This window comes from Homo sapiens, chromosome 10, assembly GCF_000001405.40.
Source record: "Homo sapiens chromosome 10, GRCh38.p14 Primary Assembly".
NCBI lineage: Eukaryota > Metazoa > Chordata > Mammalia > Primates > Hominidae > Homo > Homo sapiens.
In genome coordinates, this window is record NC_000010.11 from 67,778,020 (window position 1) to 67,790,534 (window position 12,515).

Here is a 12,515-nt window from a genome sequence, read left to right on the forward strand (position 1 = left end):
TGGCTCTAAATATGTATTTCAAATTGCATTGCTAAAGAATTATACCCATGTTTAGGGCCACCAAGAATGTATAAGAAAACTGGAATCATGGAACCCTTGTCTACATTGAGTATTATCGCTTACAGCTTTTTTTCCCCTTTTTTATTTTTTGCTAATTTACTAGGCAAACACACTCAGTTTTGTTTAATTTGCTTTTCTTTGATTACTAGTTGCCACTAAATTGAATTTGCTATTCAATTTCTGGCTTTCTAACTTTCTACCAAATCAGTTATTAGGCCCTAAAACTGCAGCTGAAATTGATTCTTGGGAGCATCCTTACTGAAACAATTGAGCACCACAGTAGTAAGATAGTAATTTAAAAGGAAAGAGGCTAATAAATTTCAAGTTGAGGATATATAGTCTTAATATCTGCTTTTTGGAAAGTTTATAACTCTGTTAGATTTTAAGATTTATCTACCCCTTCCCCATTTTACCCAACTTGCCCCACATTCCAGCATTAAAAATAACTGATACAAAGCAAAATGCAACCTGAAAGATAACAGTAATTAATTCCCATCACTTTCTGCTCCTCATTGACAGTGTAATGGTTCAGAATCCACTTTGGGAGATATTAGGGGTAGCTAGGCTTGACTGACTGATTCTGAGATATATGTGTCTATTGTGGTCTAAACTTTCACTCCTCACTCTTTTCTTACCTTACAGGCTATTTGAGGAAGTATCTTCCTCGACCCACCAGGCTCCAAGGCTGTAGAAGGTTCTTCTTCATCAGAGATTCTCAAACATTAGAAGAATCACCTAAGAGAGCTTATTAAAAACACAATCCCTGGACCTCACTGTTGGAGATTCTGATTCAGTAGATGTGGGGTGAGCCTAAGAATCTACACTTTTTAAACAACTAAGATGCAGTGCTGTCCTGATCACACTTTGGGAAACTAGTATAGATCCTTGAAATAGAAAGCATATCTATACTGAGAATATTCGAGGTGGCAGGGGAAATGAGGCTGGGAGGAGGGAGAAGGGGAATATAGCCCAGCAACAGCTCCTTCTCAGCCCATTCTCCAAAAGTATCATTGTGGAAAAAACTGTAAGATCATGATTTGGTGGTAGAAAAGGTAATCAGTGTATAGAAACGTTTCTTTCTTTTTTTTTTTTTTTTGAGACAGGGTCTCACTTTGTCACCCAGGCTGGAGTGCAGTGGTGCACATCTGTAGTCCCAGCTACGAGGGAGGCTGAAGGGGGAGGATGGCTTGAACTCAGGAGGTTGAGGCTGAGGCTGCCGTGAGCCATGATCATGCCACTGCACTGTCTCACTCTGTTGCTCAGGCTGAGCGCGGTGGCGTGATCACGGCTCAATGCAACCTCAACCTCCTGGACCCAAGTGAACCTCCCACCTCAGCCTCCTGAGTAGCTGGGAATACAGGCATGCAACCATGCCTGGCTGATATTTTAATTTTTTTGTAGAGGTGGAGGGTCTCACTGTGTTGCCTAGCCTGGTCTTGAGCTCCTGGGCTCAAGCAATCCTCCCACCTCAGCCACCCAAAGTGCTGGGATTGCAGACATGAACCACCATGCCCAGACTGTGGCAATATTTTTGTATGCTAAGGATATGGTGGTCAACAAAACAGACATATCCCTACCTTGTTGAAGGCCACCATCTAGTGACAATTCATTATAACATCATTTAGTGATATTTAACATATTTTCAGTGTTGTATCACCTATTTCATAACATCCTAAAATGTTCATCTAAGCTTCCACATCAATCTTACTTCTGGCCACAATGCTTTCAGATAGCAAAAAGTTTCAGATTCTTGGCACACACATATTCCCTTTGGGAACAAAAGTATTTCTCTTCTGCACTGACAGCACTGGCCTGGGCAATTGCAGAATTGCTAGATTGTTTAAGATATCTTCAAGCCCCGCTAGGTTTTATTCATGAAATGTCTGCAGTGGACAACAATAATAGCAGACCACACCGTAGAGTTATAGAAACAACCAGATCTGGAGTCTTTTTGCACCATCACAGCTACTTGGAAATGCTTGCTAGGTGGAGTCTTCTGCTACTATTAGCCCAATGCTGCCATCTTGTGGCCATCTAAAGAAACGTGACCAGAGTTTACAGACGTGAAGATTTTTTTCTGGAGATCATGTAAATATTTTGTGGGGGAGGAGAAACCTTTACACTTCCTTATCATGTCCTCTATCAACTTTTCATCTAGGTAGAACCTACTTTGGGAAGCTTTGAAAGTAGAATAAAAAATTCTAAGCAGAGAAGCTTAGATCTTAGAAATCACCTAGTAAAGAGATGGCTGGGGGTTTTTCTATTTTATTTTACTTTTTTGAGACAGGGTCTTGCTCTGTTGCCCAGGCTGGAGTACAGTGGCGCAATCATAGCTCACTGCATCTCAGCCTCCTGAGTAGCTGGGACTTCAGGCACGTGCCACCACGCCTGGCTAATTTTTGTATTTTTTGTAGAGATGAAGTTTCATCATGTTGCCCAAGCTGGTGTCAAACTCCTGGGCTCAAGTGATCCGCCTGCCTCGGCCTCCCAAAGGGCTGGGCTTTTTGTAAGACAAGTTTGCCCAAATGCTAAAATCTTGATGTACACTCTGCTAAAATCACTATAATATCAGATTATACATTTATCATAGGGTAACTTTGCATCCTGAAATTCTTGTTTTTTCTGAAATGGAATCACTCCTAAGGAAAAATTTCATTCCATGCCTTCAAGAAACCAGCATGCATTTGTTTGAAGTGCTTCCCAGGCTCATTTTTCTCCAGGGCTTCAACTGTACATGCATATCTAGAGTGCTGATGTCTTCCCTTGAGCAAAGAAAAATCCTTCTTCCAAGTTCTTGTTAAACACCCATTGTACTGTGTCACTTTCTTGTTTCCTCTCTGAAACCAGTTGTAAAGTTTAACCCTCAGCACTAAAAAGCACAAAGTCTAACCTGGACAAGCACTTTAGTTGTCCTCAGCACAGTTCTGGGCATTGCAGCAAATGTATAACCAACGCCATAGCATGGATAGGGTGGAAGCCCTGGTGCTGGGAGTAAGGAGGGGGATGTCTCCGAGACTGATCTCCAAATAGGAATGTGGAAGGACAGTCCCTAGCAGAGCCCAGAGTAAAGAGTTAAAACAGATACACACAGATGTATGACTTCTTCTCTAGTCCTCTGAAAGAGAATTTTTACCAAATGTTTGCATAGATTTACCATAAATACAATGTGGTTATGTTGGCTACTTTCATTAAGCATCTGCTACATTACAAGGCCAGGTGCTCAGAGAGGAGATCCTGTGGTGAACAATACACTTCCTACCTCGGAGAGCTCCCAGGCTTGCCATAGCCACAGATGATAGCAGAGGACAAGACAGTGTGATGCACGCTAGAGCAGGTGCTGGCTGAAGGAGCCCCCAAGCCAGTGTAAGAGCAGTAAGGAAGGCTTCCTCATGTAACTCATCTCCCTCACTTTCCTGAGGAGAAAACAAGTCTTCTATATGTAACAGCTTGTCCACCATCTCCGAGTTAGAAAATGGCAGTGCTAGGACCAAAAACCAGGTCTCATGACCCCGAGAGGAACTAACAATGGCTCAAAGGAGCATGGCTTATTCAGGACATGCAAGAGGCCTGGTGAGGCTGTGTAGAGTTGAAGGTTCTTGTTTATGCCTTTGTCTAGTTTTCTAAGAATCCCTCTTTCCTTATCTGCCCCTCAACCTCTCACTTTTGGATTTTCAGTTCTGTATCATCCTCCTTATTCAAAGTAACAGAGCAGGCTGGGTGTCGTGGCTCATGCCTATAATACCAGCACTTTGGGAGGCCAAGTCAGAAGGATTATTGAACCCAGGAGTTCGAGACCAGCCTGGGTAAGATAATGAGACCCTACCTCTATTTTTTTAAAAAAATACAAAAATTAGCTGGGCGTGGTGTTGCATGCCTGTGGCCCCCACTACTTGGGAGGCTGAGGCAGGAGGATTGAGTGAATCCAGGAGGTTGAGGCAGCAGAGAACTATGATTGCACCACTGCACTCCAGCCTGAGCAACAGAGCTATGACCCTGTCTCAAAAAAAAAAAGTAACAGAGAATCATACCCAAAGTGGACACATAATGAAGGTATTTAGATTATTAGGTACCTACACATAATAAAGGTATTTAGATTATTTAGAGGAAGCAGAGAAAAAGAAGAAGAAAAAGAATTTAAGGGAGGAAAGTAGTTAATCTTTATTTTTTAATTTTTTATGATAGAGTGTATTAGTTTCCTAGAGCTACCATAACAAAGAACCACAAACTAAGTAATTTAAACCAAAAGAAATTTTTTTATTTATTCATTTTTTTGAGACAGGGTCTCGCTCTGTCACCCAGGCTGGAGTGCAGTGGTGCAATCTCGGCTCTCTGCAGCCTCGACCTCCCAAGCTCAAGCAATCCTCCCACTTCAGCCTCCCTAGTAGCTGGGACTACAGGTGCACGTCACCACTCCCAGCTACTTTTTGTATTTTTTGTAGAGGTGGGGTTTCACCATGTTGCCCAGGCTGGTCTTGAACTCCTGAGCTCAGACAATCCACCTGTCTTGGCCTCCCAAAGTTCTAGGATTACAGGTATGAGTCACTGTGCCTGGCCTAAACTAAAAGAAATTTATTGTCTCAGTTCTGGAGCCTAGAATTCAAGGTGTTGGCATGCTCCTTCAAAGGGAGAGTCCTTCCTTGCTCCGTCACAGCTTCTGGTGGCAGCCATCAATCTTTGACATTCCTTGGCTTGCAGTTCCATCACTCCAGTCTCTGCCTCTGTCATCACATGGCCTTCTCCCGTGTGTCTCTGTCTTCACATGGGGTTTTCCTCTAAGGATACCAGTTATACTGGGTTAGAGCACACACTAATGACCTCATCTTCACTTGATTACATCTGCAAAGACCCCATTCCCAAATCAGGTCACATTCAGAAGTGAGAGGGGACTAGAATTTCAGCCTACCTTTTAGGGGAACGTAATTCAATAACATGGAGTATTTCAAGCATAACACATATGCAAACATATTTAGAAGTAGAGTCTAGTATGATGAACCTTTTAAGTATCCATCTCCCAGGTTCAACAATCATCAATTCTCTACCAATCTCATTTCATCTGTATCCCCATCCACTCCCCCTCCTCTCCTGTGTTATTCTGAAGCAAACCTCAGACCTTATATCCTTTCACCTGTAAACATCTGATCTATCTCCAAAGATAAAGACTCTGTTTTAACATAACCACAATAACATTATTACACCTTAAAATGTTGATCAATAATATCCAGTCAGTATTCAGATTTGCATTGTCTCATAAATTATCTTGGTTTTATAACAGTTTGAATCAGCATTCAAATAAGGTCCTCAGAGTCACTGATATTTAAACCACCTTCCTAGGAGGTGGGCTAACAATCTCAGCATCTTTTTTCTCCCTCTGGTGGAGCTGAACACTAGATTACTTCACTCACTGAAATTGACTGTGGGAGTGGGGGTTTGAGGATTTCTGAACTGCTCTGAATGATAGGAATTTAAAGTGGATGGAGGGAGATCTTAGTGGGAGGGAAGGAGTGAAAAAGAGAGACAGCAGAGGTAAGGTGAAGAGAGGAGCCAAGAAGAAGATGGTGGATCCAGGAGTCTCAAGGCCACGGTGAAAGGAGCCTGCGGAAAGGCGGTGAGGTGGCTTAAACAGTGGTGGGGAGAGGCTAGCTGGCAGACTTTTAAGAACAAGGAAGTCTAATGTGCAACTGTACATGCCCTACACATCAGCCACCTAGAAACTTTCACTTTCCAAACACAGTAAGTGCTGTGAAGCCTCCACACTGTTCCTTCCACTAAAAATACCCTCTTGCCTCTCATCCTAGCTCTTCATCCTGGAGAACTCCTATGCATTCTTCAAAAGCCAGTACAGATATCCATACCTCCATGAAGACCTCTCTGATTCCTCCCCCACAAGGTTGGCTTGCTCCTTTATCTACAACTCTATAAGGCTTTGAACATGTTTCTACTATAGCACTTCTCAAATTGCCCTGTCATTATCTACATGCATGTCCGAGTCCACCACTAAACTATGGGCTCTTTGAGGGAAGGGGCAATATTGGTTCATCTTTTTATCCTGAGTCCCTACCGCAGTGCCTGGCACATTCAATAAATGCTTACTGAATGAAAGAAAATTAGAAGAGGAGGAAGAGAAGAAGAAAAGGGAAGAGAAAGCAAAGACAAGATCAAAACAAGAGGAGAAAGAAGAAAAGGAGGCAGGAAAGGAAGATATAAACAAGACAAACAGCTGACCTTGGCAAGTGTTAAAGCAAACTAAACATGGCCTGAGAAGGATTCTGTACTTGTATATTTGAGTCCTTGTGGACAAACCGTAACCTAGCTTAATAGGCGGACAAAATTGAAAACCTAACTTACTAGTATGTACCTGTAACAGTGGTTGAGTTTTGGCCAATCCCAGCAGCCATACTTCAGCCACTCATAGACTGCTGAGTGTTCAAACTGTGTTCAAATAAGGCAAACGTGGAGCTGGAACCAATCCAGCCGTTCTGTACCTCACTTCTAATTTCTGTACATCATTTCCCTTTTTTTGTCTATAAATTTTCTTCCACCACGTGGCTGCACTGGAGTCTCTGTGAATCTGCTATGATTCTGGGGTCTGCCCAATTCATGAATCATTCATTGCTCAGTTAAACTCCTTTAAATTTAATCTGGCTGAAGTGTTTCTTTTATCACAAGGCAGAACAGGCCAGTGTGATCTCCAGGTTGCAACACCAAAGTGAAATTAGGCCTTCAGGAATGTTTCCTTGGCCAGTACAGTATATAGTGTATAGCTTTTTTTTTTTTTTATTAGACAGAGTCTCCCTCTGTCCCCTACGCCAGAATACAGTGTTGCAATCACAGCTCACTGCAGCCTCAACCTCTGGGTTCAAGTGATCCTCCCACCTCAACTGAGACTACAGTCATGCACCACCATGCCTGGCTAATTTTTTTTTAATGTTTTATAGAGAGAGGGTCTCACTATGTTGCCCAGGCTGGTCTTGAACTCCTGGGCTCAAGCAATCCTCTTTCCTTGGCCTCCCAAAGTGATTACAAGTGTGAACCACCACACCTGGCCTCAGTACATCATTTTTTAATTTTTAATTTAGTGATCAAAATGTAAGAATCATATAAAAATCCAAATTTCTAGCTTCTCAAACAAAAATAGAACTGCCTAGCCCAGCCTATCCTGGGCCTAGCCTCCTCCCTAGTAACTACTGGCTGGATCAAAACATGCTTTTTCTAGGTTACCACACAGTCCCCACCACTTCCTACTGTAGCCCCAGCATGTGGGTTGAGTATCATCGGCCACTTATCATGTTTGTGCTCCTGGTTCTCTCATAATTGGCCTACCTCACTCATTTACTTTACCCACCTGGCTCTTATAAACATTAGCTTGTCAACTTTGTCTCAGGCAATCTGCTCCTCCCAGATGCCCTACAGTTATAAAAGATAATGGTAATGATTATTGTAAAGCTGCACTGTCCTATAGAAGTTACTGAGATGATGGGAATGTTCTATAATCTGTACTGTCCAATATGGGAACCACTAGCTCCATGAGTACTCGAAATGTGGCTAGTGTGAATAAGGAACTATGTGTTGAATTTTATTTAATTTTAATTAATTTTAATTTTCATAGCCATGTATGCTTATTGGCTATCATATTAGAGATACATTTCTAGGGCAGTGCTTCTCAAGGTTTATTGAGCATGGAAACACCTGGGGATCTTGTTAAAACACAGATTACAGTTTAGCAGATCCAAAGTGGGGCCCAAGATTCTGCAAGTCTAATAAATTCAAATGCTTGTGATGCTGAGCTTTGGACCACATTTTGAGCAGCAAGATTCTAAAACAGTTCCGCTAAAACTTTAGCATGCAAAAGAATCCCCTGGAGAGGCTATTAAAACAAATTCCGGCCAGGCATGGTGGCTCACACCTGTAATCCCAACATTTTGGGAGGCCAAGGCAGGCAGATCACAAGGTCAGGAGTTCAAGACCAACCTGGCCAAGAGACCAGCCTGGCCAGTATGGTGAAACCCCTTCCCTACTAAAAATACAAAAATTAGCCGGGCATGGTGATGGGCACCTGTAATCCCAGCTACTCGGGAGGCTGAGGCAGGAGAATGGCTTGAACCTGGGAGGCAGAGCTTGCAGTGAGCCGAAGGTCGTGTCATTGCATCCAGCCTGGGCAACAGGGCAAGACTCCACCTCAAAAAAAAAAAAAAAATTCCTGGGCCTTAGACCTCACAGATTCTGATTCAGTGGGTCTGGGGTGGGGTCCAAAAACTCGCATTTGTTACAAGCTTCTGGGTGATGCTGGAGCACTATTCCAGAAAATGGGAAAGTGATGAAAAAATAGTTTTAGTGACTCTCTAATTTTCTTTCCCAGTTGCTGCTTGCGTTGGTCCATTTGTGCCATTATAACAAAATGCCACAGACTGGGTGGTTTACAAATAACATAAATTTATTTCTTACAGTTCTGGAGGCTGGGAAGTCCACCACTATAGGTTTGGTGTTTGGTGGGGGCCCAGTCTCTGCTTCCAAGATGGTTCCTTGTTGCTGCATCCTTAGGTGGGAGGAACACTGTGTCCTCGCATGGCTGAAGGAAGGGGAGAGCAAGAAGGCAAACTCTCTCTGAAGCCCCTTTTATAAGGGCATTCATACATACATGAGGGTAGAGCCTTAAGGACTCTTAACCACAGAACCAACCCAATCAGGTTCTACTTTGTGTGATAAAATGGTGAGTTGTTTTTCAATTGCCATGGACCCCCAGGTTGCAAGTTAAATAACCTCATCATGCTCAGATGAACCAAGCATGCAACCACAGGTGGAACCTAAGTGCTCAGACCAAGGAACCAGGACTGAATTAAGAAGCAAGCACATCATGGCATGATCCATGATCCAATCAGATCAAGCCCTGGCCTCACCCCATGGCATGATCCAGTCAGATCACACCTCCCAGCCTCATCTCATGGCAAGATCTAATCATATCATGCCTTATTACCCTCTGCCTATAAAATCTGCCCCAGCTCCCAGGTTGGAGAGACAGATTTTAGCATTGCCTCCGATCTCCTTACCAGTTGACTTACAATAAGGCCTTTCTTTTCTCAAAAGCCAGTGCCACAGTATTGGCTTCTATGGGTGTCGGGCAGCAAGCCCATTGCTTGCTCTATAACAACTTAATCACTTCCCGAAAGGCTTCACCTCCTAATATCACCACAATGGAAACTAAATTTCCACATGAATTTTGCAAAGGACATCACATTCAAACTACTAGCACTACTAGCAGGCCACGGTGGCTCACACCTGTAATCCCAGCACTTTGGGAGGCCGAGGTGGGTGGATCATCTGAGGTCAGGAATTTGAGACCAGCCTAGGCAACATCGTGAAACCCCGTCTCTACTGAAAATACAAAAATAGCCAGGCATGGTGGTGCACACCTGTAATCCCAGCTACACAGGAGGCTGAGGCAAGAGAATCCCTTGAATCCGGGAGGCAGAGGTTGCAGTAAGCCGAGATCGGGCCATTGCACTCCAGCCTGGGCAACAAGAGTGAAATTCCCTCTCAAAAAAAAAAAAAAAAAACTAGTTGGGCATGGTGCTGCACACCTGTAATCCCAGTTACTCAGGAGGCTGAGGCAGAAGAATCGCTCGAACCTGGAAGGCGGAGGTTGCAGTGAGCCAAGATGGTGCCACTGCACTCCAGCCTGGGTGACAGAGCAAGACTCTGTCTTGAAGGGGAAAAAAAAAAAACTATAGCACTACTATTAACAGCTAATATTTTGTGTCCTACACAAAGGTAGTTGCCATCTCCATTTTACAGATTTACAGATAAGGAAACTGAGGCACAGGGAGGTTAATGAACTTGCCTAACATCACACTGCTCGTAAGTGCCATCCCCAGAGCTACCCTCTTCGCCAACACACTTTACACCATGAACAATGTGTGTTTTGCCAGTAGCGGCCTTGCTGTGATAAAGAAACTCCCTGAGTCCTTGAATTTAGACCTGAAAATAACTTTTTAAATCAGTCAGTCTGATTTTGATTCACAATTTTCCTAGTTTAATTTTATATTTCCTCATTTTACAAGGGAGGAAACAGATTCAAAGAAGGGACTTGCCTAACACTACACAGCTATTTCTCTTTAAGGATTGTTTGATGAACAACCTTCACATCAAATGATTGACAGCTTCTATTTCTAACATTTTCTGTCCCACCTTGTTTGAACACTATTGGAATTTCTAAAACAGTATTTTTAGCTAGCTGCTACTAGTGGAGACACATCACTCTCCCTCTACACGCACACACTGCGGAATCTTTTGTCCTTTATAGGCCCAGGTGTTTCTTTTTTGAAGCTTGGGGAGGAAAGGCATTTGCAAGGGAACAAGATGAGAGAGGAGGGAGATGGTCAGAGAAAGCTAGGACTGTGCTCCCTACCAGGCCCGACAGTCAGGATCTGTGGCCGCATGGTTAAAGGGTGAGTTCCAGACACTGAGAAACTGTTCAAGTTGAAGTCTGGCGAGAAGGAAGCTGCCAGGAGAGGGGACCGCCTTTCTTCCACCAGCAGGTACTCAGCAGCAGGGGGCGCTCCAAGATGGAGCTGAGGATCAGAGAATTAGGGCAGAGACAGGGACCGCCCTAGGTCATAGACCCGTTTGGGAGCTCAAGCGAAGTGCACCTCGGGTCATGGCGACTCCTAAAAATAACAGGTGACACGGAAGAGGGAGAGCCACCAAGATATTAATCATTTCACCTACAGCTTGTATCGTTTAAGCCACCATGATCCTCAACCTTAGTGGCACGTTAGAATTACCTGAGATTTGTAAAATTCCTACCCAGAAACATGAAATCTGGGGTTGGTGGAGTGGGGTGGTATTGAGATACTGGGAAAACCAAAGCGTTTTGCCTATCCTCCTCTATTATGCAGAATGCTTCACCTCTGGTAACTAAAATGTGTGGGGATTTCTCCCCACCACCAACTAGTCAATTCTCCAGCAGATTCTCCAGCAAGGTGTCCTCAAATTCAATTTAATTGTGACACTGTCTACCTGGAGATAGCATGAGATCCCATAGAGCGAGGACTCAGTCCCACAAGATTCTCCCCGACTTCAGATACCAATTGCAAGCCCCAGCTTGTGTCCTATGGTTCTGACCGACTAACTGTAAATCAGGGTTGCCACCATCCCCCTCCTTGGGTTTCATTAATTTGCCAGAGTGGCTCAGAGAAATCAGAGAAATCCTTTACTTACATTTACTCATTTATCATATATGATATTACAGAAAATACAGGTTGTCGACCTAAAAAAAGACTGAGGCAAAATTAATATAAAGAGTTTATTTTTCAGCCAGGCGCAGTGGCTCACGCCTGTAATCCCAGCACTTTGGGAGGTCAAGGAGGGTGAATCACCTGAGGTCAGGTGATCAAGACCATCCTGGCCAACATGGTGAAACCCTGTCTCTACTAAAAATACAAAAATTAGCTGAGTGTGGTGGTGCGTGCCTGTAATCCCAGCTACTCGGGAGGCTGAGGCAGGAGAATTGCTTGAACCCGGAAGACGGAGGTTGCAGTGAGCCGAGATCACGCCACTGCACTCCAGCCTGGGGAAAGAGCAAGACTCCATCTCAAAAAAAGTTTCTTTCTTTTCTTTCCCAAGGTGAACAGCCAGGTGGAAGAGATGCATAGGGCAAGGTATGTGGGAAGGGGCGTGGAGCTTCTGTGTTCTCTCCAGGCACCACCCTTCAAGAACTTCCATGTGTTCAGCTATCCAGAAACCCCTCCCCAAGCCCTGTCCTTTTGTGTTTTTATGCAGGATTCATTAGGTAGGCATCATTGATTACATCATTGGCCATTGGTGATCAACTTTTCAGCCCTTCTCTCTTCTCCTGGGGGGTAAGGCTGAAAGTTCCAACCTTCTAATCATGCCATGGTCTTTCCAGTGACCAAGCTGCATCCTGCCACCAGTCATCTCATTCGCATACAAAAGACACATCATTCCAGAGATTCCAAGGGTTTTAAGAGCCCTATGACAGTAAATAGAAATAAAGACCAAATATATACTTCACAGTGTCACTGGTGAGAAGCAGCGTTTTCATATTCCCCATTGAATCCAAGGTTGAGAACCAGTGGTTTAAGAAAAAAAAAAAAAAAATAGAATGAAAAAAATGTTTTCCATTCTATTGTGGTTTTTAAAATGTAACAAAAGCTACATTGAAATGAGATTAGTTGTGAGATTCAAACAAGTTATATCAGGAAATGCTTTGGAAATTATTATTAAAGGTAGTAGTTACTGTTGGTATTATTATTAGACCTAGTTTAGAGCCTCATTTCCAGCTCTAATGAACTGGAAAGTATTTACTATAGAAATTTCACCCTTGTCTTTAAAGGTGGGATGCTGTCTAGAATAGCATCAAACTCAGCTGAATGTGAAAAGATAATTGAGGTGTTTGGGGCTGTTGTATATAGATGTACCTAATTAAGTATAATCTTTCC

The 12,515-nt window shown here is 43.4% G+C and overlaps 3 annotated features.

The window, feature by feature from the left end:
- Nucleotides 1,995-2,104: an enhancer, noted in NCBI's record as "active region_3453". NCBI's record gives its function as "activates an Ori minimal core promoter by ATAC-STARR-seq in GM12878 lymphoblastoid cells {active_cell/tissue: GM12878}" and the evidence as "EXISTENCE:reporter gene assay evidence [ECO:0000049][PMID:35858748]".
- Nucleotides 2,195-2,244: an enhancer, noted in NCBI's record as "active region_3454". NCBI's record gives its function as "activates an Ori minimal core promoter by ATAC-STARR-seq in GM12878 lymphoblastoid cells {active_cell/tissue: GM12878}" and the evidence as "EXISTENCE:reporter gene assay evidence [ECO:0000049][PMID:35858748]".
- Nucleotides 5,757-5,866: an enhancer, noted in NCBI's record as "active region_3455". NCBI's record gives its function as "activates an Ori minimal core promoter by ATAC-STARR-seq in GM12878 lymphoblastoid cells {active_cell/tissue: GM12878}" and the evidence as "EXISTENCE:reporter gene assay evidence [ECO:0000049][PMID:35858748]".